This window comes from Homo sapiens, chromosome 1, assembly GCF_000001405.40.
Source record: "Homo sapiens chromosome 1, GRCh38.p14 Primary Assembly".
Lineage (NCBI taxonomy): Eukaryota > Metazoa > Chordata > Mammalia > Primates > Hominidae > Homo > Homo sapiens.
The window spans coordinates 19575455-19599949 of NC_000001.11; the positions used below are offsets into that span (position 1 = coordinate 19575455).

Genomic DNA, 24495 nt, shown 5'->3' on the forward strand with positions numbered 1-24495 from the left:
ACAACTGTATAATGACGGCCAGATGCAGTGGCTCACACCTGTAATCCCAGCAGTTTGGGAGGCCAAGGTCGGTGGATCACTTGAGCCCAGGAGTTCGAGACCAGCCTGGGCAACATGGCAAAATCCATCTCTACTAAAAACTACAAAAATTAGCCGGGTGTGGTGGTGCGTGCCTGTAATCCCAGCTGCTTGGGAGGCTAAGGCAGGAGAATCACTCAAACCCAGGAGACAGAGGTTGCAGTGAGCCGAGATGGCACCACTGCACTCCAGCCTCGGCAACAGAGTGAGACTCTGTCTAAAAAAAAAAAAAAAAGTATAATGAAATGTATCCACCATAAAAGTATCATACAGACCATTTTCACTGTCCTAAAATCCTCTGTGCTCTGCCGATTCTTCCCTCCCTCCCCGCAACATCTGGACACCACTGATATTTTTACTGCCTCTGTCGTTTTTTTGTTTTTGTTTTTGTTTTGTTTTTGAGACAGAGTCTCACTCTGTTGCCCAGGCTGGAGTACAGTGGCACGATCTCGGCTCACTGCAATCTCCACCTCCAGTGTTCAAGCAATTCTTCCTGCCTCAGTCTCCTGAGTCACTGGGATTACAGGCGCCTGCCACCATGCCTGGCTAAATGTTGTATTTTTTAGTAGAGATGGGATTTCGCCATGTTGGCCAGGCTGGTCTTGGACTCCTGATCTCAGGTGATCCACCCACTTCAGCCTCCCAAAGTGCTGGAATTATAGGCATGAGCCACTGTGCCCAGCCTGCCTCTGTAGTTTTTTTGCCTTTTCCAGGATATCATATAGTTGAAATCATATACTATGCAACTTTTGCAGATTGGCTTCTTTCATTTAGTAATAAGCATTTAAGCTTCTTGCATTCAGCTTTAAGCTAAAGACAGATGTGTCTGAACCTCAGGATAAACAGTCCCTTTTAGGAGCATCCTGCACAGCCAAGGGGGAAAGTCAGGCTGAAGGTCTCATTAATCCACACAGCATCCCTATGCAGCTGTAAAATAGGTGGAGAGAATTGAAGTTGTCTTCTCTTTACAGATAAAGAATTTGAAGTACCAAGCACCATCGCAAGAACATCAAATGAGTACTTCCTATAGCTTTACAGTTTACAAAGGCTCTGAACTCAGGCTTTCCTGAAGGGGGCTTACTCCTCACTTTAGAAATGGCCAGTGGAGGATATAGCATCAGGCCGTTCGACCACCACAATCCCCTGAAATGACCTGAGCAGCATATTCAAGTCAGCGCAGGGGTGAGATTTAAAGTTGCCACAAGAGACCCAGAACTGTGGCTCATGCCTGTAATCCCAGCACTTTGGGAGGCCGAGTCAGGAGGATCACCTGAGGCCAGGAGTTCAAGACCAGCCTGGTCAACATGGCAAAACCCCATCTCTACTAAAAATACAAAAAATAAAAAAAAATAGTCGGGCGTGGTAGCGCGCGCATGTAGCCCCAGCTACTCGGGAAACTGAGGCAGGAGAATTGCTTGAACCCGGGAGGCAGAGATTGCAGTGAGCCGAGATTGCACCACTGCACTCCAGTCTGGGTGACAGAGTGAGATTTCATTTCAAAAAAATAAAAAAATAAAGTTGCCACAACATCCCCAGTTTGTCTCTGGAATCCTCCCAGACTACCTCGTTTTTCCACTCTGCTACTCCTTGTTCATAAATTTCTTGGTTCTCAGCTGACTTTGTTTTGGCTTTACATTACGGTTTCTATCCTCCACCCATGTCTTTGCTGGATGATCTGCTGGGCTTGACTCATTCTTCTGGCTCTCAACAACCATATGGATCCACGCCACTGCCTTTGGTCTTTGTTCTTCAATCCCCCACATTGCTCCCAAAGGGAAGAAGCAGTTCATCTGTGGGATCCACTTGATGTGTCTCACCTTTCACCAGGACCACGAGGGGCGTGGGGGCCTGCCAGCTTCAAGATGGCACAATAAAGGCATTTCTGCTACCATCTTTTAAAATCACTCCAAAATAAGCAGTACAATAAATTTAAAAATATGTATATTATTTAGGAAACCAGGAGACAACAGCAGCCCCTAATCATACTAATTGAACCAGAGAGGGAAAGGGCAACACACACCAGGTGGTTCTGATAATGGTGGGTGTTAGGGTATTTAGACTAGACCTTGAAGATAGAGAGTTCTTCAGTGTTTCTTTATTCCCAGAGCTTAGCATAGAACCTGGCCAAATCAAGTCCTCATCAAATACTTGTTGAGTGAATTACATCATTATATATATTTATATCCTATAACAGTTATCAGCACATGAAAACATTTTACTATAAGGAGAACTGTTAGAAATGTTTGCTACATTGCTAAGCGGGGCTTCCGTTCTTTCTCTTGGAGAGAGGACCCTTCTACATCCATAGGCTGAGGAAGAGAACTCTGACTAATACCTTTGCCCTGATGATTAGCATTTCATTGCTTCAATTTTTAAAACATTCACAAAATCTGCTCTTTCATTGGCTCTGTTTCAGTCGTTCATTATTTTAATGTGAACTTGGCTCTTATGGAGGTCAGGACTTGATAATTGCATTCAGCCCTTTGCAATTATTGGTAAGAAACCAGGTAAGAAACCACTGACATTTAATATTTAATTGTTTTTGATCAGCATTAATTAGTCACAGATGCACACCAGATTCCCATTTAATTAAATACTCTTGGGAACATATTTTGGGCTCAGGGATTCTAACCACATCAAAAAATAAGTGTTCAACTTTAAAAGTTGGGCCCCAGAGACCCAGGCATCCATGGAGAGGAAATTCCAGATGTCTAGCATTCTCCCTTTTCTTAGAAATAAACCTTCTACTTCTAGCCCTCTGGAATAGAAAGTCTCGGCATTTCTTTTCTCTTTTATTTTATTTATTTATTTTTTGAGATGGAGTCTCACTCTGTCGCCCAGGCTGGAGTGCAGTGGCACGATCTCGGCTCACTGCAACCTCCACCTCCCAGGTTCAAGCCATTCTCCTTCCTCAGCCTCCCAAGTAGCTGGGACTACAAGCATGCACCACCATGCCCGGCTAATTTTTGTATTTTTAGTAGAGATGGGGTTTCACCATGTTGGCCAGGCTGGTCTCAAACTCTTGACCTCATGATCCACCCACCTTGGCCTCCCAAAGTGCTGGGATTACAGGCGTGAGCCACCAGGCCCGGCCTCTTTTATCCTTTTTTTGTTTGTTTGTTTGTTTTTTTGAGACAGAGTCTTCCTCTATCGCCCAGGCTGGAGTGCAGTGGTGCGATCTCAGCTCACTGCAGCCTCTGCCTTCTGGGTTCAAGTGATTCTCCTGCCTCAGCCTCCCAAGTAGCTGGGATTACAGGCACTTGCCACCACGCTCAGCTCATTTTTGTATTATTAGTAGAGACGGGGTGTCACCATGTTGGCCAGGCTGGTCTCGAACTCCTGACCTCAAGTGATCCACCCACCTCGGCCTCCCAAGGTGCTGGGATTACAGGCATGAGCCACAGTGCCTGGCCCTCCTCTCTCTTCTTGCATCATCAGTTTTACCCTCTTTACTGAATCATTCCCATCCACATACAAACATGAGCAAGTTCTCCCATTCTAAAAAAACCCACTGTCAAACCCACCCCTTCTCAAACTATTGCCCTTTTTCGTCCCTCTTTGGAAATAAACTTCTAGAAAAGATTGTGTGCACTTGCTGCCTCCAGCCCCTCTCCTCCTAGTCTCTCTCAAACACACTGCATTTGGACTTTGGCTCCAACTACTCCATGGAGACCGTCCTTGTCAATGTCTCTAAAATTACCTTTCTGATGTTAAGACCAATGGCCACTTCTCCACCCTCTTTCATTTGGCCCAGTTAATCATGTTGTCTTTCTTGAAACACTTCATTTGGCTTCCAGGAGACCATTTTTTCTTGGTTTTCCTCCCGTCCATGTTCCTTCCTTCTCATTTTTCTTTGCTGATTTACCCTGATCTCCCTAGCCTCTAAATGTTAGGTGGTTTTAGCAATGCTTTTAACTTCCATTTGACCTCCCTATTTACTCTGCATTTCCACCTGAATGTTGGCTTAGCCTGGGTTCCTTAGACATCAGAGCCTGAGGCAAAGCTTACACACTCTTGCTCTATTGGAGAAGAAGGAGAGAAAAGGAAAGAAGGCAGGGAGTGAGGGAAAGTAAGGTGCATTGTTGAGCGAGCCAAACATTCACAAGAAAACACAGCTAGTCACTTCGTCACACAGGAACATCTCTAGAGAGGCGAGTGGAACCATAACACCTCCATGCTGCTGCATCTTGGGAAGGAGAAAGTTGGTTTCTGGCCTGCAGAAGAAAATGGAATTCATCTGTTGACTCCTCCTCTCCTGTCTTTCAATGTTAGAAGTTTATCTCTGCACTTCTAAGTTGTGTTCTCTGGCCTCTTTGGGCTGCACTGGGGATAACAGCTCCCTCAGCCCTGGCTGAGAATTTAATCTGGGCTCAGAAACAGTGGGAAGACCTGTAGCCTTTGCAATCTAATCCCCGGAGCGTTATGCACTTCCTGTTGCAGCTTATGATGGGGTCAAGCTGGGTCTGGCGCCCACCCTGGGAAAGACTGAGGCAGCCTTCCATCTCAGCAGAGGAGGCACTTGACTGTGGTGGCCACAGCTCTTCTTCTTCTTCTTCTTCCGTTTTTTTTTTTTTTTTTGAGACAGAGTTTTGCTCTTGTTTCTCAGGCTGGAGTGCAATGGCGCAATCTTGTCTCACCGCAATCTCTGCCTCCTGGGTTCCAGCGATTCTCCTGTCTCAGCCTCCCGAGTAGCTGGAATTACAGGGATGTGCCACCACACCTGTCTAATTTTTGTATTTTTAGTAGAGATGGGGTTTCACCATATTGGCCAGGCTGGTCTTGAACTCCTGACCTCAGGTGATCCATTTGCCTCAGCTTCCCAATGTGCTGGAATTACAGGCGTGAGCCACCATGCCCGGCCTCAGGGCTCTTCTTTGAGTAAACAGTCAAGGGAGAGTCCAGGCTTGGGGCAGCAGAGAGGATTGAGGGAAGATGGGGTAGCATATAAACTGGGTCTAACAGGCATCTCCAAACTTAACCTACCTAAAATTGAACTGATTCCAACCCCTCCCATCCAAACTTTTTTCTCCTAGTTTTTCCCATCTCAGTGTCAACTCCATCTTTCCATTGTCTCACACCAAAAACCTTAAAATCATCCTTAACTCCTCTTTCTTTATTCTTAAACCTCACATCCAATGTATCAGCAAATCCCATCAGCTCTACCTTCAAAGTATATCCAGAAGCCAGCCTCTCCTCACCATCTCCTTTCCCATCATTCTTGGATCATTATAAGGGTCTTCTATTTGGCTCTCTTGCCTTTGCCCCCAACATTCTATTCTCAATGCCATGGTCAGAGCGGTTCTTGTAAAAAAAAAAAATAAGAGAGATGGTGTTACTCCCCCTCCTGAAACACTCTAGGGCCTTCCCCTCTCACTCAGAGTTAAACCAAAGTCTTTGGCATGGCCTACAAGGCCCTACACTATCTGAGTCCATCACACCTCTAACTTTATCTCCTGCTGGCGCACTCTGTCCATCCACTGTGCCTCTAAAGGGCCAAACAGCCTCCCACCCAAGGGCCATTGCACTTGTTCCTCTCTGTGCCTGCAAGACTGTCTCTCCAGTTAGCTACAAGGCTTGCTTCCTTAATCCTTCTGAGCGCTTAACCTCTATGCTTCAATGCTTTTTTTTTTTTTTTTGAGACAGAGTCTTGCTCTGTTGCCCAGGCTGGAATGCAATGGTGCAATCTCGGCTCAATGCAACCTCTGCCTCCCGGGCTCAAGCGATTCTCCTGCCTTAGTCTCCAGAGTAGCTGGGGCTACAGGTGCACGCCATCATGCCTGGCTGCTTTTTTGTATTTTTAGTAGAGACGGGGCTTCATCATGTTAGCCAGGCTGGTCTCAATCTCCTGACCTCAAGTGATCTGCCCACCTTCATCTCCCAAAGTGCTGGGATTACAGGCATGAGCCATCATAACCAGCCCTCCACTGCTTCTTTTCAGTCAGAAAAGGCTCAATGGCGGAAGAAGAAACTGAAGGATGGGAAAGAGAATGAAAACAGGAAGGAAGGAGTAACCTCTTCAAGAGCTTTTTGGAAAGCCCAAAGCTTTCCAGAAACAGTTTCGCCAAGATGGAGACTTTATGAGTGGGAGAGTAACAAAAGAGATAAGAAGAAAGTGAAACCATTCTTAAAAGTGCCGGGCGCGGTGGCTCATGCCTGTAATCCCAGTGCTTTGGGAGGCTGAGGCAGGTGGATCACCTGGGGTCAGGAGTTCGAGATCAGCCTGACCAACATGGAGAAACTCCGTCTCTACTAAAAATACAAAATTAGTTGGGCACAGTGGCACATGTCTGTAATCCCAGCTACTCGGGAGGCTGAGGCAAGAGAATTGCTTGAACCAGGGAGGCAGAGGTTGCGGTGAGCCGAGATCGTGCCACTGCACTCCAGCCTGGGCAACAAGAGCAAAACTCCACCTCAAAAGAAAAAAAATGTTGAAGAGCTAGGGTGTTTATTCTATGGGTATGGGTTATCCAACTGAGAATCAAAGTTAGTTCACTCAAATTTCCACTGAAAAAATGTCTTCCAACCAGGACCTCTGGATCAATGGTAGTCCTGGTGGTCTAAACATGTTCTTGAAAGAAGCAAGAGAAATCAAGATTGACGAAGGAGCAACAAAGCTTGGAAAGATATTTGTCTCTGGGAAGAATCTTCCAGGCCCTTTCAGGAAGTTGAAGGGAGAAGGTGGTCTTTCTCAGAGCCACTGCTTGAGCGCTTATGCATCCCATGGTGTGGTAACTGGGGTTGAAAATGGGATCTCAAAACCAACCCAACAGGAAGGGCAGGGGAAGGTCTGAGTTGTCTTTTGGTGCCCTTGGGTCAGGTCTACCTGGCTCAACCTCTCCAAGCTCTTGATAACCAGTATTACAAGGTCAAGGAGGTCGGTGAATGTGGGCGCCACTGCCCTCTGCTGGAGGGACTGGCATCCTCCCAAGACCTGTATTTGGCTCCTGGTCAATGTGTCTTTACCTTTGTACCTGCGTCCCTTTGAGAAGCTGAAGAAAGCTATGGAGTCAAAGCAAAAACAATATGCGCTCATGTATAAGATTTGTGTGGAGTTTCAGGGATTCACAGACAGACCCTCTGAAACCCATCCATCCACCTCCCAGGTAAAGGTGTGGCTTTAGAAGCAGATAGACCTAAGTGCCACTTCAGAACTGAGATACCTACCCTTCCTCTGTAAGACAGAAAAAAATCAAGAAGAGGCTACCCAACCTATTTCTTGCCAAGAATGCCCTTCCTCCTACTTGAACCCCATGTTTAGAAATATTTTCTATACCTGTAGCCTCAGCAGTTTGGGAGGCTGAGGTGGGATGATCACTAGGGCTTAGGAATTCGAGACCAGCCTGGGCAACAAAGCGAAACCCTGTCCCTATAAAAAAAAATACAAAAATTAGCCACATATGGGGTGTGCACCTGTAGTCCCCGCTACTCAGGAGCCTGAGGTGGGAGGATCCCTTAAGCCCAGGAAGTTGAGGCTACAGTGAGCTGAGAATGTGCTACTGCACTCCAGCCTGGGAGACAGAGTGAGACTCTGTCCCAAATATACATATATATATTTTATGGAGTGCAGTGGTGCAATCTTGGCTCACTGCAACCTCTGCCTCCTAGATTCAAGTGATTCTCCGGCCTCAGCCACCCAAGTTAGCTGGGATTGCAGGCACGTGCCACCACACCTGGCTAATTTTTGTATTTTTAATAGAGATGGGGTTTCACCACCTTGGCCAGGCTGGTCTCAAACTCCTGACCTCAAGTGACCCGCCTGCCTTGGCCTCCCAAAGTGCTGGGATTACAGGTGTGAGCCACTGTGCCTGGCCGCTCTAATTTTTGTTTATTTATTTTATGTATTTATGTATGTATTTATTTATTTTTAGAGACGGAATCTTGCTGTGTTGCTGAGGCTGGAGCGCAGTAGTTATTCACAGATGGGATCGAAGTTCCCTACAGCCTAAAACTCCTGGGCTCAAGCAATCCTCCTGTCTCTCAGTTTCCTGAGTAGCTAGGACTACAGACACATGCCACTGTGCTGGCTTTCTAATTTGTTGTTGTTGTTGTTGAGACAGTGTCTTGGTCTATCACCCAGGCTGAAGTGCAGTGGTGCCATCATAGCTCACTGCAGCTTCCACCTCCTAGGCTCAAGCAATCCTCCCACCTCAGCCTCCTGCATAACTGGGACCACAGGCACGTGCCACCACTCCCAGCTAATACTTTTTATTTTTTGTAGGGACAGGGTTTCTCATGTTGCCCAGGCTGGTCTTGGATTCCTGGGCTCAAGCAATCTGCCCACCTTAGCCTGTCAAAGTGCTGGGATTACAGGCATGAGCCACCGAGCCCAACCTCTAATTTTTTTTTTTTTTTTTAATGCGAGTCTTGTACTTTTAGCCAGGCTGGAGTGCAGTGGCACGATCTCAGCTCACTGCAACCTCCGCCTCCCAAGTTCAAGCAGTTCTCCTGCCTCAGCCTCCCAAGTAGCTGGTATTACAGGCATGCACGACCATGCCCGGCTAATATTTTTATTTTTAGTAGAGATGAGGTTTCACCATGTTGGCCAGGCTGGTCTGGAACTCCCGACCTCAAGTGATCCACCCACCTTGGCTTCCCAAAGTGCTGGGATACAAGCGTGAGTCACCAAGCAGAGCCTCTAATTTTTAATTAACCAAACAGAACCAGGCAAGCAATAGCCAGTTACTCCATCAAGGCTGAGTTCATATAATCCAGGTAAAAATCAAAGCTAACTTGACTGCAGTGGCTCATGCCTGTAATCTCAGCACTTTGGGAGGCTGAGGTGGGAGGATCCCTTGAGCCCAGGAGTTTGACACCAGCCTGGGCAACATGGAGAAACCCTGTCTCTACAAAAAATACAAAAATTAGCCAGGTATGATGGCACGTACCTGTAGTTCCAGCTACTTGAGGGGTTGAGGCAGGAGGATCATCTGAGCCTGGGAGGTCAGGGCTGCGGTGAGCTGTGATTGTGCCACTGCACTCCAGCCTGGGCAACACAGTGAGACCATCTTTAAAAAAAAAAAAAAGCCTAGGATTGCTCTGTTGTAGACACATATACAGGGTTTGGGCTGGACTTTGAAGTATTCATACTCAAGCTTTAATGTTGTTTGTTTGTTTGTTTGTGCAGTGGCACCATTTCAGCTCACTTCAACCTCTGCCTCCTGGGCTGAAGCGATCCTCCCACAGCCTCCCAAGTAGTTGAGAGTACAGGTGCACACCACCATGCCTGGCTAATTTTTGTGCTTTTTTGTAGAGATGGGGTTTTGTCATCTTGCTCAGGCTGATCTGGAACTCGTGAACTCAAGCAATCCTCCTGCCTCGGCCTCCCAAAGTGCTGGGATTACAGGCGTGAGCCACTGCACCTGGCCTCAAGGTATAATGTTTAAACTTTCACTGACTCACTCTAAAGCTCACATACTTAAATCTAAACTAATTCAGTGATGCTATTTGCGTCAAACTCATGCTGTCTCACAAATCTATTTATGTGCACCTTTAAATGTGGGAAATGAGAAATTCCACCTTCAAACACACCTTTCCAAGCATTTCCTCAGCTCAAACTCTCTCTAAGGTTAATTTAAACACATACTGTACATGAGGCCACATTTAAACCCACTTTGGTTCTAACTCAAGCTTGTGTCCTACACTGAGACCTTCTGGCCTCAAGGGTAGGGCCATGTGAGAACATAGAACATCAGTTGAAGCTGGGCACAATGGCTCATGCCTGTAATCCCAGCACTTTGGGAGGCCGAGATGGGTGGATCTCTTGAGGTCAGGAGTTTAAGACCAGCCTGACCAACATGGAGAAACCCCATCTCTACTAAAAATACAAAAATTAGCCGGCTGTGGTGGTGTGCACCTGTAATCCCAGCGACTTGGGAGGCTGAGGCAGGAGAACTGCTTGAACCCAGGAAGCGGAGGTTGCAGTGAGCTGAGATCACACCACTACACTCCAGCCTGGGTGACAAAGCAAGACTGTCTAAACAAACAAACAAACAAACCAAAAAACCACATCAGTTATGCACCACTGAATACTTGCCATGGCTAATACTAAAGATGTAAAAAATATAGAATTCCTGCTCCCAATTCATTCATTCAAGAAATATTGATTAAATGCCTACAATGTACCAGACACTGCAAGGAACTAGGAATATAATGATAACAGAACTGATGAAGTCCCTGCCTTCATGGAGCTTACAGTCTAGTGGGAGAAACAGCGGGTGTGGGAGGAATAACAAATAGAGGAGATAATTGGAAATTGTGGTATGTAACATGAAGGAAACAGAGGGGAGTGGGGCTAGGGAGGGAATGGGGCAGGGCAAGGACCTCTCATAGATGTAGCAGTCAGGGTCCTGGCAGGAAACAGGTGGCACATTCAAACTGGGAAGTATTCATCCCTGAAGGGCATGGGAGAAGAAACATAAATACATACATTAATAAATATTTAAAAACACAAAGGAAATGGAGGAGAGGCAGGGCACAGTGGCTCACACTTGTAATCCTGGCACTTTGGGAGGCCAAGGCAGGAGGATCACTTGAGTCCAGGAATTCGAGACCAGTCTGGGCAACATAGGGAGACCCAGCCTCTACAAAAAAATAAAAATAAAAAAATTAGCCTGGGGTGGTGGCTTGCACCTGTGGTCCCAGCTACTCAGAAGGCTGAAGTGGGAGGATCATTGAGCCAGGGAGGTTGAGGCTGCAGTGAGCCAAGATTGCACCACTGCACTCCAATCTGGGTAGATAGAGTGAGACCCTGTCTCAATAGATATAGATATAGATAGATAGATAGATAGATAGATAGATAGATAGGCCGGGTACGGTGGCTCACACCTGTAATTCCAGCACTTTGGGAGGCCAAGGCGGGCAGATCAACTGAGGTCAGGAGTTTAAGACAAGCCTGGCCAACATGGTGAAACCCTGTCTTTACTAAAAATTCAAAAAAAATTAGCCAGGCATGGTGGCGTGCACCTGCAGTCCCAGCTACTCGGGAGGCTGAGGCAGGAGAATCGTTTGAACTTGGGAGGTGGAGGTTGCAGTGGCCAAGATGGTGCCACTGGTGCCACTGCACTTCAGCCTGGGTGATGAAGTAAGACTCCATCTCAAAAAAAAAAAAAAAGATAAATAAAGGTGAAAAATGGATGAGAGTTTAATAAAAGGGCTATTTACAAGCAGCGAGGAATGGTGCAGTACCCTAGAGTTAGTAACAGTGGGAGCCCTTCCCAGCCTTAGGCCCGAAGGTCCAAGGGGAGGCAGCAAGCACATTCATGAGTCACTTAAACACAGGGATATATGCTGAGAAACACGCTGTTAGGCGACCTTGTCGTCATGCAAACATCATGGAGTGTACTTCATGCTCCAGCCTACTACACACCCAGACTATGGCAGAGCCTATTGCTCCTAGGCTGCAAACCGGTACAACGTGTTACTGTACTGAATACTGCAGGCAATAGTAGCACAATAGAAAGTGTGTACCTAAACATATCTAAACATAGAAAAAGTACAGTAAAAATACAGTTTTGTTTGTTTTTTTGTTTGTTTTGAGACAGAGTCTCACTCTGTCGCCCAGGCTGGAGTACAGTGGCACCATCTCTACTCACTGCAACCTCCACCTCCTGGGTTCAAGTGATTCTCCTGCCTCAGCCTCCCGAGTAGCTGGGATTATAGGCATGCACCACCACGACTGGCTAATTTTTGTATTTTTAGTAAAGACGGGTTTTCACCATGTTGACCAGGCTGGTCTTGAATTCCTGACCTCAGGTGATCCACCCGCCATGGCCTCCCAAAGTGCTGGGATTACAGGCGTGAGCCACCACGCTTGGCCATAAACATATATAAACACAGAAAAAGTACAGTACAAATACAGTATTATAATCTTATGGGACCACCATTAGATTGCAGATGACAGAAACGGCATTATGCGGTACATGACTTACTATACAGGAATCTGAAGAGGCTGGGCTTGGTGGCTCATGCCTATAATCCCAGCACTTTGGAAGGCTGAGGCAGGGGATCACTTGAGCCCAGCCTGGGCAACATGACAAAATACGGTCTCCACACACACACAAAAAAATCAGGTGTGATGGTGGCTTATGCCTGTAATCCCAGCTACTCAGGAGGCTGAGGTGGGAGAATTGCTTGAGCTTGGAAAGCGGAGGTTGCAGAGAGCCAAGATCATGCCACTGCACTCCAGCCTGAGCAACAGAGTGAGACTCTGACTTAAAAAAAAAAAAAGAAAGAACGAATCTAAAGAGGTGAGTCCACAGAAAGGCCCACCTGGTAAGACAGGCATGACTACATGTGCAGAACCAGCAGTTAACGGCAGAGTGGAGACTGGGGTGCAGCTCTCATGATCTTCAATCCAGTGTGCTCCCTGCTGTGTTAGTTCTCTCACGATGTCATAACAAAGGACCACAAACTGGTGGCTTTGAAACAACAGAATTATAGTGTTTCTCAGTTCCAAAGACTGGAAGGCCAAAGTCAAGGCGTCAGCAGGACTGATTCCTTTCAGGGGACTCAGAGAGAGCATCCGTTCCATGCCTTTCTTCTGGCGCCTGGTGCTTGCTGGCGATCCGTGGTCTTCCTTGGCTTATATCCACATAAGCCAAATTATCTGCCTGTGTTGTCACAGGGTCATCTTCTCTGTTTTTGTGTTTCTTCTTCTTTTCTTATGGGGACACCAGTCTTTTTGGTTTAGTGTGCATCTCACTCCAGTATGAGCTAATCTTTTTTTTTTTTTTTTTTTTTTTGAGACAGGGTCTCACTATCGCCAGGCTGGAGTGCAGTAGTAGTGGTGTGATCTTAGCTCACTGCAGCCCTTGCCTCCTGGGCTCCAGTGATCCTCCCACCTCAGCTTCCCAAGAAGCTGGGACTATAGGCATGCACCACCACGCCTGGCTAATTTTTAACATTTTTTGTACAAACAAGGTCTCACTATATTGCCCAGGCTGGTCTCAAACTCCTGGACTCAAGTGATCCTCCCACTTCGGCCTTCCAAAGTGCTGGGATTATAGGTGTGAGCCACAGCACCTGGCCTAATTTTAACTAATTACTTTTTTTTTTTTGACACAGAGTTTTGCTTTTGTCATCCAGGATGGAGTGCAGTGGTGCAATTTCGGCTCACTACAACCTCTGCCTCCTGGGTTCATGTGATTCTTCTGTCTCAGCCTCCCTAGTAGCTGGGATTACAGGCGCCTGCCACCATGCCAAGCTAAGCCACCATGCCAAGCTAATTTTTCTATTTTTAGTAGAGAGGAGTTTCATCATGTTGGCCAGGCTGGTCTCGAACTCCTGACCTCAGGTGATCTGCCCGCCTCGGCCTCTCAAAGTGCTGGGATTACAGGCATGAGCCATCGCACCCAGCCAACTAATTACATTTTCAACAACCCTATTTCCAAATGAGGCCACACTGTGAGGTTCTAGGAAGGACATCAATTTGGGGGGACACTATTGAACCCAGCACACCTTCTTCAAGTTGGCAAGGCATCACTTTAGCAAAATGTCTCTGTCAATTTCCCTTCTCTTTCAGGGCCTCTTTGATTTGATTGGAATCCCCCAGTCCTGCTACATTATATATTCAGAGTACATGACTAGTAGCTCACTCACAGGAAAGAGCAAGCACTACCCCAATGAGATACTAGCAGACACCTACCAGACTGGCAACAATACTAAAGTATCATTACAGCCTAACTGTTGGTGAGGACATGGAGTAACAGGAATGGTCATATGCTGCTGGGGACAATGTAAATTGGTACAATCACTTTGGGATAAAGTTTGGCAGTATCAAGTGAAGCTGAAGGTATACATACCCTATCGCCCTCCTGACTTACATATTCTATAAAAATATATGCCCATTGAGCCGGGCGTGGTGGCTCACACCTGTAATCCCAGCATTTTGGGAGGCTGAGAATGGTGGATCCCTTGAGCCCAGGAATTCGAGACCAGCCTGGGCAACATAGCAAAACCATGTCTCCACACAAAAAAAATATAAAAATTAGCCAGGGATGGTGGCATGCACCACCTGTGGTTCCAGCTACTTGGGAGGCTGAGGCAGGAGGATTGCCTGAGCCTGAGGGGTTGAAGCTGCAGTAAGCCTACTATGCCACTGCACTGCAGCATGGGTAACAGAATGAGATCCTGCCTATATGTATATAAATGCCAGTGTATATCAGGATATTCATAGAAGAATGAGAAGACTTGTTGGCAACAGTCTCAAGCTGAGACCAGGCACAGTGGCTCATGTCTGTAATTCCAGCACTTTGGGAGGCCGAGGCGGGCAGATCACTTGAGGTCAGGAGTTTGAGACCAGCCTGGCCAACATAGCTGAACGGTGTCTCTACTAAAAATACAAAAATTAGCTGGGTGTGGTGGTGGGCACCTGTAGTCCCAGCTATTCAGGAGGCTGAGGCAGGAGAATCACTTGAACCTGGGAGGCGGAGGTTGTAGTGAGCCGAGGTCACGCCACTGCACTCCAGCCTGGGCAACAGAAGGAGACTCAGTCTCAAAAAAAAAAAAAAAAAAAAGAAGCCTCAAGCTGGAAACAACCCAAATATCCATGGACAATAGACTAAATACATTGTGGACAGCATATAATGGAATATGATATAGCAACGAAAAAGAACGAACTATAGTTACATACAGAAGCATGGATACTAATGAGGAAAAGAAGCTGAATACCATAACATACAGACTGTATGATTCCAGTTAAGCAAAGTTCAAAATTAGGCAAAATTAAACTATATTGTTTAAGGATATATAACCAGGTAGCAACACTTAAAGAAAAACAAGGAAATGAATAACATAGAAGTCAAGATATACCAGGTGCTGTGGATTACTTCTATAATCCCAGCACTTTGGGAGGTTGAAATGGGAGGATCACTTGAGCCCGGGAATTCATGACCAGCCTGGGCAATACAGCAAGTCCCTGTCTCTACAAAAAGTAAAAAGCAAAAAATTAGCCAGGCATGCTGGCACGTGCCTGTAGCCCCAGCTACTTGGGAGTTGGAGGCAGGAGGCTTCGAGGCTGCAGTGAGCCTTGATTGCACCACTGCATTCCAACCTGGGCAACAGAGTGATACTCTGTCTGGGGAAAAAAAAAAAGTCGAGATAGTGGTTATGCTATCCTGCCTTGGCAAGGAGGGAGCAGTTTGGATCTGCTGAAGGAAATGCAGAGAAGGGTCTTCTGGGGTGCTAGTCATGTTCATTTTACAACAATTTGTTAAGCTGTATTTATGTTTTCTTTTGAGATGGGGTCAAGCTCTGTTGCTCAGGCTGAAGTGCAGTGGCGTGATCATAACTCATTGCAACCTTGAACTCTTTTACTCAAGCAATCCTCTGGACTCAGCCTCCCAAGTAGCTGAGACTACAGCAACTCGTCACCACACCTGACTAATTTTTAATTAATTAATGTATTTATTATTATTATTTTTTGAGGCAGGGTCTCATTCTGTCACCCAGGCAGGAGTGCTGTGATGTGATGTGATCACGGCTTATTGCAGCCTCAACCTCCGGTTCAAGCTATCCTCCCTTCTCCAAGCTATCCTCCCGCCTCTTTTTTTGATTTTTTTGTAGAGACAAGGTCTCACTATGTTGCTCAGGCTGGTCTCAAACTCCTGGACTCAAGAGATCTTCCAACTTTGGCCTCCCAAAGTGTTGGGATTACAGGCGTGAGCCACCGCACCTGGCCATGTTCTTAGCACTTTTCCGAATGCTTGGAATATTTCATACATACACATACATTAAAAAGGGGAGGGGGTCCCTGGGCTTTGGAACCAAACAAAGCAGCTATGTAGTAGATTTTGACTCTGAACACATTCCTGAAGGGACAAAATGATATAGGACCCCTCTTGGAAAAAGAAGATATGAAATACAACAAAAAAATGTGACTCTTCTTTAAGAAAGGAATTAGAGGTTTTTTTTTCCTTTTCTTTTCTCTTTTTTTTTTTTTTTTTTTGACAGGGTCTTGCTCTGTCACCCAGGCTGGAATGCTGTGGCATGATCACAGCTCACTACAACCCAGACCTCCTGGGCTCAAGTGATCCTCCTGCCTCAGCCTCCCAACTAGCTGGGACTCTAGGTGTGCACTACCACACTCAGCTATATGTTTTTATTATTTGTAGAGACAGAGTCTCCCTATGTTGCCCAGGTCGGTGTTGAACTCCTGGGCTCAACCGATCCTCCCACCTTGGCCTCCCAAAGCGCTCAGATTACAGGTGTGAGCCACTGCACCCAGCCTAAGACATTAGTTTTTAATTGAAGAGAAACCATGAAGAAAATCACTGGCATCTAAAAGACCTTTATTTATGCAGGTGCTGTGGTGTAGAACATTCTAATCTGCGACGTTAAGGAAGCTGAATTTACAACCTAGTAAACCAAACAAAGAGTTTATGTTTAGTTGATTAACCAGTTGAGGCTAAAGTCTAGCCTATTCAAGTGACAGACTTTGGTTTTTTATTTTTCTTCAATACAGTGTAAAAAGATGTTGGCTCTCTTCCTCTTACAGGAGTCTGTCTTTATTCATTTGAAATGTAAACTTCTATCTTTGTGAAACCTGTTCCAGACAATTAAGAGCAGTGCTATAATAATAATGAATTACAGAATTCCAATTAGGAGCCAAGCACTATTTTAGGCAGTTTGTAGTTACTAAATCAGTTTGGGCTGGGCGCAGTGGCTCACACCTATAACCTCAGCAGTTTGGAAGGCCAAGGTGAGAAGACTGCTTGAGCTCAGGAGTTCGAGACCAGCCTGGGCAATATGGTGAAACCCCATCTCTACAAAACATACAAAAATCAGCCAGATGTGATGGTGTGCACCTGTAGTCCCAGCTACTTGGGAGGCTGAGCTAGGAGGATCACTTGAGCCTGGGAGGTAGAACTTGCAGTGAGCGAGATTACGTCACTGCATTCCAGCCTGGGTGACAGAGACAGACTCTGTCTCAAATAATAATAATAATAATGATAATGATAAAATAAAATAGCAGGCCAGGTGGTATGTGCTTGTTGTCCTAACTACTTGGGAGGCTGAGGTGGGAGGATTGCTTGAGCCCAGGAGTTCGAGGCTGCAGTGATCTATGATAGTGTCACTGCACTCCAGTCTGAGCAACAGAATGATATTTTGTCTCTAAATAACATAAGTAAATAAAATACTTCGACATGTCACTATCATCCTCTGAGTACTTTCTTATCTTTATTATATTAAACACTATGAGGTCATACTGACACCTTCAATTCCAATCCAACAGCATAGAGTTCTTTGCAGCTTTCCTCCTTTCCATGTTTGTAACCCCAGCAATGAGAAACCTATTTTTAATCATTTTGAATGTAACTAAGTTTATAATGAGTGTATTGCTGAGTTTTTAAAAAAATATTTTTCCCCACTTGTATTAATCTTTGTTCTTCAAGAAGTACAAAAACTCCAGAGTTTTCATTCATCTTATTCATTCAACCAACAAATATTTATCAAGCAGACACTATGTGTGAGATAATCTTATAGGGCTAGGGATATAGCAGTGAACAAAACATTGTATTGGGGAAGGAATGGTGGGAAAACAGAACAATAGAAAGAAGGCTAGGAAATGGGAAAGCTGGGATCTGCACCCAGAGAGCCTGGCTCCAGATTCATGCTATCACATCTGCCTCTGATTGCTTTTGTAATTTGCTCTCTACCTTTTGCAAGAGTTTACAACTCTCTTGAATCCAATAAAAATGCCTTTGTCAATTTTAAATCTACACAACGTGGAGCTTTGTGCATCTTCTGTGTTGCTTAACTTCTCGGAGACTCAGTTTCCAAATCTGAAAACGAAGATGCTAATCTTGACCTGCTGTGAGAATAAATGAAATTATGCGAAGTGCCTGCAGCTATTTATGACACACCATAGGTATTATTTATTTAGAGACAGGGTCTCGCTCTGTCACCCAGGCTGGAGTGCAGTGGCACCATCACGGTCACTACAGCCTTGACCTCCTGGGCTCAAGTGATCCTCTTGCCTCGGCCTCCCAAAGTGGATTACAGGAATGAGCCACTGCACCCAGCCATGTGATAGGTATTTTAGTGAAGTTTATTTTCTTTCTTTTTCAACAGAAATGTTACACTACACAGTTTCCCCAGAACAGGGACTTTTTCTCTTTCTGATTAATTAAATCATTTGTTCATATATTTATTCTTTTTTTTTTTTTTTTTTGAGACAGATCCTTGCCCTGTCGCCCAGGCCAGAGTGCAGTGGCGCCATCTTGGCTCACTGCCAGCTCTGCCTCCCTGGTTCACGCCATTCTCCTTCCTCAGCCTCCCGAGTAGCTGGGACTACAGGCGCCCGCCACCATGCCCAGCTAATTTTTTGTATTTTTAGTAGAGACAAGATTTCACCGTGTTAGCCAGGATGGTCTCGATCTCCTGACCTTGTGAGCCACCCGCCTCGGCCTCCCAAAGTGCTGGGTTACAGGCGTGAGCCACCGTGCCCGGCCTTATTTATTAATTTTTATGTCCATTCGACAAGCATTTATTGAGAATCCGATATATACCAAGCTCTCTGCTAAGCATTAGGGATACAGAAATGGCACGGCCTCCATTCTCAATTTGCTCACAGTCAAAATCCAAAAGACACACAAATAATTGTTAAAATTACAAACAATTATTAAAAACACAAATCATCTGATAAGTAGCTGTGATGAGAATTAGAAGGGGCTGGGCATGGTGGTTCAGGCCTATAATCCTAGTACTTTGGGAGGACAAAGTGGGAGGATGGCTTGAGCCCAGGAGTTCGAGACCAGCCTGGGCAGCATAGCAAAACCTCACCTCTATAAAAAAGGAAAAGCAAAGAAAAATTTAAAGAATAGGAAAAATAGGGCTGGGCATGATGGCTCAAGCCTGTAATCCCAGCACTTTGGGAGGCTGAGGTGGGTGGTTCACCTGAGGTCAGGAGTTCAAGACCAGCTTGGCCAACATGGTGAAACCCCATCTCTACTAAAAATACAAAAATTAGCTGGGGGTGGTGGCACGTGCTTGTAATCCCAACTACTCAGGTGGCTGAGACAGGAGAATCTCTTGAACCTGGGAGGCAGAGGTTGCAGTGAGCCAAGATCATGCCACTGCACTCCAGCCTGGGTGACAGAGCAAGACTCTGTCTCAAAAAAAAAAAAAAAAAGAAAGAATAATTTAAAAAAATAGAGAACTAGGAGAAGGGAAGGGTGGTCATAGAAGTTATCTTGAAGGAAGAGGCTGTCGTAGCAAGATCTGATACAACAGAGTTTTGCTGTCATAGTTGCAAATAAATAGTTGAACGATGCCTGTAATCCCAGCACTTTGGGAGGCCAAGGTGGGTGGATCACTTGAGGCCAGGAGTCAAGACCAGCCTGGCCAATATGGCGAAACCCCATCTCTACTAAAAAAATACAAAAAGTTAGCCAGGCGTGGTGGTGGGCGCCTGTAATCCCAGCTATTTTGGAGGCTGAGGCAGAAGAATTGCTCAAACCCAGTAGGCAGAGGTTGCAGTGAGCCGAGATCGTGCCACTGCACTCCAGCCTGGGCAACAGAGCGCGACTCTCTCTCAATAAATAAATAAACAAATAAATAGGTGAATAAATTCAATTCAGTTCAACAAATATTTCATAGAAGACCCTACTATCCAAGGCATTGTGCTCTGACTGGAAGTATGAAGACGAAGGGGCAACTTCTAGTTCTACTAGCAGATAATATCTACAACCAGATGTTTCAGTACTAGATAGAGAAATCAATGCGGGTAGGCAGGGTAGTGGGACAATGAGAAGGGGAAGGCAGCTCTAAGCTCTATCTGACTAGGCTTCCTAGAATCAGTGCAGTGTTGAAGCTTGGATAGATCCAGTGTATGAATGGGAGTCATTGACAGCTTTTTTTTTTTTTCTTTTGTGATAGGGTATCACTCTGATGCCCAGGCTGGAGTGCAGTGGCATGAACATGGCTCAGTGTAGCCTCCACTTCCCAGGCTCAAGTGATCCTCCTACCTCAGCCTCCTAAGTAGCTGGGACTAAAGGCACACATCACATTAGCCTGGCTAATTTTTTAAATTTTTTGTAGAGACAGGAGTCTCACTATGCTGCCTAGGCTGGTCTTGAACTACTGGCCTCAAACAATCCTCCCGCCTCAGCCTCCCAGAGTGTTGGGATTACAGGTGTGAGCCACTGCTCTCGGCCTTCATTGACAGCTTCTAATCAGAGGCATAACGTGGTCAGATTTCTATTTGTTGGTAGGATGGAAGACTAAAATCAATGACACTAGCCAGTAGGCTGGATATACAATCTCTCTTGATAGCTGTGGGCATTTGGTTTCAGGATCTCGCAGTTACCAAAATGCAGGATGCTCAAGTCCCATATATAAAATGGCGTGGTATTTGCATACAACCTACACACATGCTTACATATCCTTTTTTAAAATTACTTATTTTTTTTTAAAGAGATGAAGTCGAACTCCTAGTCTCAAGCAATCCTCCCATCTCAGCCTCCCAAGTAGCTGGGACTACGGTCGCATGCCACTGCGCTGGCTCCCATATACTTTAAATCATCTCTAGGTTACTTATAATACCTAATACAATGTAAATCCTAGGTAAATAGTTGTACTGTATTTTAAATTTTGCATTATTTTTTATTTGATTCAAAAATGTTTCTGGTCCATGGTTGGTTAAATCCATGGATGCAAAACCCACAGATACAGAGGGCACCCTGTGTATGTATGTGTATGTGTGTGTGTGTGTGGGTGGGTGTGTAAATATATACATGGATAGGAGGCCTGAGGTAGACGTTTTACCTGGAGATATAATTTGGCAGTGTTTGCAATTACTCAGGGAGAGTCTGTACAGTGAAAAGAGAATTGATGGAAGCTTGCGAACCAACAGTCCTTAAACAGCTGGCAGAGAAAAGGCAGCCCTGGAGGAAACCAACAGACAACAGCAGATGGGGAGAAGAGGAAAGAGTGGCGTTACCGGGAGTGAAACGAATAGAGGAGCCAGGGAGGATCAGAGGGAGGGAAAATTGTGTGGAATGCGGTACAGAGGTCAGAAAAGAGTCCATTTGATTTGGCGGTAGGTAATCTTTCCCAGAGCAGTTTCGGTGTTAGTGGTTCAGGCGGGAATTCCAATGCAAGAAACCAGTGAACGAATGAGAGAGTGAGTAGGGAAAGTGAAGGTGAGTACGTTAATGAATGAATAAATCAAGTCTGTACCCTCTCTTGCCCGGGGGATTTCCAGGGCCAATGTCGCACTTTGGTGAGGAGGAAAGGCCTGGTCACGGCTTGGGGTGACGCCTAGGAAACTGTCAGCCTCGCAAACCCATAGGCGCAGCCCCAAGGTCAGGGTCACCTCGAGCCTCCAGACAACTCGTCACCTTGACGACCAACTGAAAAAACCGGAAGGGATGGAAGCAGCGGATCATCTCGCGATATCTGGAGCGTCTGCGCCTGCCTTCCTGACCTGGGACTTGTTTCCAGCTCTCGCGAGACTTTCAGGGGTCGGAGCGCGGGGGCCGGCCGAGAGGAAAGCTGGAGGCGCGGGTGGGGAACATGTCTGAGTCGGAGCTCGGCAGGAAGTGGGACCGGTGTCTGGCGGATGCGGTCGTGAAGATAGGTAAGGGGCTTTTCGCCCCAGCAGGCCCGGCCGGTGCAGAGCTGCTGGCTCCAGGCTGCGCTGCCCAGGAGGAAGGAAGGGAAGCCCCACGGGAGGTCAGGCCTCTCGGCCTTTTCCGGCCCCTCCGGCCAGGGCGAGCCGCCCGGGCCCCGGCGGGAGGTCACTCGGGCGGCGGGCACAGACCCGAGGAGCCGGAGCAGCAGCCCGGGTGCGGGGTGGAGTTGCAGCCCGGAGGAGGTGGTCGGGGTTGGCAGGTGGCAGGAGAGTCGCAGAGCTCTTGAGTGGAAGACAGTGTCGGGGCACACCCTCGTGCCGGAGCCGCGGGGTTCTCCTCCCGGGTGGTGCATTCCCCGGCACGCGGCGGGGAACCGGCTCAGGAGGCCACGCTGCTCCCCGGCGGAAACCAAAGTGCCTTCTGGAGAAGGTCACCTGGAGCATTTCATAGACACCGCCAGGCCCTGATGCGAGTTGCTGTCATTCCCGACTTGCCACCTGATTTATTTGAATCAGAGTAGTCTGGGGCCTGAACTTAGAGGGGTGATGATCTGGAATGAGAATTGCGCTGGAAAGTAAGAAGTTGTTCACGTTAAGTTTTTCTGCGTAGTCCTTTAACACGTGCTCAGTGACGGCACAAATTATGAAGTCACTGTATGGTGGGGAGGAGAAAGGAAACTCGTTTATTGAGCGTATATTGTCTTCATTGTGCGAAATAATCTTTTTACAGGCCGTGAAATGGAGAGTCAGGTGAAGGAATTTGCCCACGGTCACAGCTAACAAATGGCAAAATTAGGGATTTTACCCAGCTTTTCTGGGGTCAAGTCCCATGTTCCTTCTTCGATGCTAATTTTTGTTACCCAAATGTGATATTTTTGTGTGGTAATCTTAGGGTATTTAAGAGGATTTAGGATTGTGTCTTTGAATGAAAACATTGAGGAATAAGATTGTAAGCTCCATGAGAGCAGGGATGTTTTCTGGTTTAGTCACTGCCCCATCCCCAGCCCCTAAAAGAGTGCTTAATAAAAATTGTTGAGAGTGAGTCAATAAATGAAACAGTTTATAAGTTACCATTTCACCTCTGAATTCAGCACTTACAGTCAAGTGATTTGGGGCAAGTTATTTAACTTTTCTGTGCCTGATTCCTATTTGGAAATCGGCAGTAATAATTATTACTATCTCATGGAGTCGTTGGGAGGATTAAATGAGTTAGTTTGTTTAAAGGCTTGAATATGGATCACTTAGGAATGGGTTATTTTGGAAGCGACTAAACAGTCACTTTTGTTTTGTTACTGTTAACAGCTTGCAGTTCAGAGAGAAGACTTAACACCTAGCTATGAAATGACCAAAGTAGTTACTAGGCAATGTCATATAGTTAAGAAAGGGCTTTGAGCTGGGCGAAGTGGCTCAGGCCTGTAATCCCAGCACTTTGGGAGGCCGAGGCGGGAGGATCGCCTGAGATCAGGAGTTGGAGACCAGCCTGGGAAACAAAGTGAGACCCTTCCCTTAAAAAAAAAAAAAAGGAGAAGAAGAAGAAGGGGCTTTGGAGGTAGACAGAGCTGAGTTCGAATCATCCACTCTCACTCTTCTCGCCCATCCTTACTAATTTTGTAGCTTTGGGTAAAGTCTCTTTCTCAACTACGAAATGGTGATCAAAAGAGATTTACCTGAAAGTATTAAAAAAAGTAAAGGACAGAAAAATACATAAGCTACTTAGCACAGTGCCTGGTGCTTTATGTATACAGTAATGGTAGTCATAATAACTGGCTTTTAAAATTTTTTAATGTATTTTATTTATATTTATTTTTAATTAACTTATTTTTTTTATACAGGCAGGGTCTCCCTATGTTGCCCAGGTTGGTCTTTTAACTCCTGGGCTCAAGCGATCCTCCTGCCTCAGCCTCCCAAAATGCCAGGATTACAGGCATGAGCCAATGCGCCACACTCATAGTAGTTGTTTTTTATTTTTTGAAATAGGGTCTCGCTCTGTCACCCAGGCTGGAGTGTAGTGGTGGGATCTCGGCTCACTGCAACTTCTGTCTCCTTGGGCTCAAGTGATCCTCCCACCTCAGCCTCCTGAGTAGCTGGGACTATAGGTGTGTGCCACCATGCTCAACTATTTTTGTATTTTTTGGTAGAGACGGTGTTTTGCCATATTCCTCAGGCCGGTCTCAAACTTCTGGGCTTAAGTGATCCATCATCCTCAGCCTCCCAAAGTGCTGGCATTACAAGCTTGAGCCACTGCACCCAGCCAATAGTTGTTGATATTAATATTATTGTGCTACTGAAGACCACGTGAGGCAGTGAATAGTGTCACTCTGTCTCTCATGCGTAGAACGTTGATAGGGGTGCAGCATATACATGTGGAGTAATTAAATGAGGCAAGGTGATGTACGATCTCAGGTATAAGTTAAAATGAGTGATTCAGACTCTTTTGCTGTAGGGTTGTATATTAAGTGACTGAAGGGATGGGCTGAGGTCATTCAATAAGAGTGTGGAAGGGCCTTCAACTGACCTTTGTAGAATGGCTTGGGATTGAATAGTCAGGTAGGATGGAAGAAGAACTTAAGCAAAGGTCAAGTTGGATTTTTATGAGGAGTAAATCGAAGCGCAGAGAGGTTAAATATCCAGAAGTGGAGGAGCTGGGATTAGAACCCAGGCATCCTAATTTCAGTGCAGAGAGGCTGGTTTAGGTGGAGTCAGAACTGTGAAATGTCTTAGAGAGATTCCATTTTATCTTGGAGGTGTTTGAGTTGCCTGTTGACTTTTTCACATGCTTTCTGCGTATTCAGCACCTCTGCCTTAAAAATCTATTGCTTCCAGGGCTCACTAGGCATAGGCTGGTG

At 46.0% G+C, this 24495-nt stretch overlaps 2 protein-coding genes and 1 long non-coding RNA gene across 8 annotated transcripts in view, besides 2 other annotated features; 2 read left to right on the forward strand and 1 right to left on the reverse strand.

The window, feature by feature from the left end:
• Positions 1-16347: 16347 nt before the first annotated feature.
• Positions 16348-21378, reverse strand: MICOS10-DT (MICOS10 divergent transcript). Its single transcript, NR_135054.1, has 2 exons — positions 21256-21378; positions 16348-16431 (listed from the first exon to the last, which is right to left on the reverse strand). It is a non-coding gene; the product is annotated as an MICOS10 divergent transcript (long non-coding RNA).
• Positions 21318-21617: an enhancer, noted in NCBI's record as "active region_305". NCBI's record gives its function as "activates an Ori minimal core promoter by ATAC-STARR-seq in GM12878 lymphoblastoid cells {active_cell/tissue: GM12878}" and the evidence as "EXISTENCE:reporter gene assay evidence [ECO:0000049][PMID:35858748]".
• The window catches only part of MICOS10-NBL1 (MICOS10-NBL1 readthrough), a 61474-nt gene continuing 58503 nt past the window's right edge, over positions 21525-24495 (forward strand). For both annotated transcript variants that reach the window (NM_001204088.2, NM_001204089.2), the window contains exon 1: positions 21525-21655. The gene's annotated coding sequence lies outside the window, so the exon portion shown is untranslated. The remainder of the gene's footprint in view (positions 21656-24495) is intronic.
• Positions 21525-24495, forward strand: part of MICOS10 (mitochondrial contact site and cristae organizing system subunit 10) — a 32842-nt gene continuing 29871 nt past the window's right edge. For all 5 annotated transcript variants that reach the window (NR_033757.3, NR_033758.3, NM_001204083.2 and 2 more), the window contains exon 1: positions 21525-21655. Coding sequence is in view for 3 of the 5 variants with exons in the window: in NM_001204083.2 (NP_001191012.1) it covers positions 21592-21655 (64 nt within the window). In the remaining 2 variants the exon portion in view is untranslated. The remainder of the gene's footprint in view (positions 21656-24495) is intronic.
• Positions 21738-21947: a silencer, noted in NCBI's record as "silent region_357". NCBI's record gives its function as "represses an Ori minimal core promoter by ATAC-STARR-seq in GM12878 lymphoblastoid cells {active_cell/tissue: GM12878}" and the evidence as "EXISTENCE:reporter gene assay evidence [ECO:0000049][PMID:35858748]".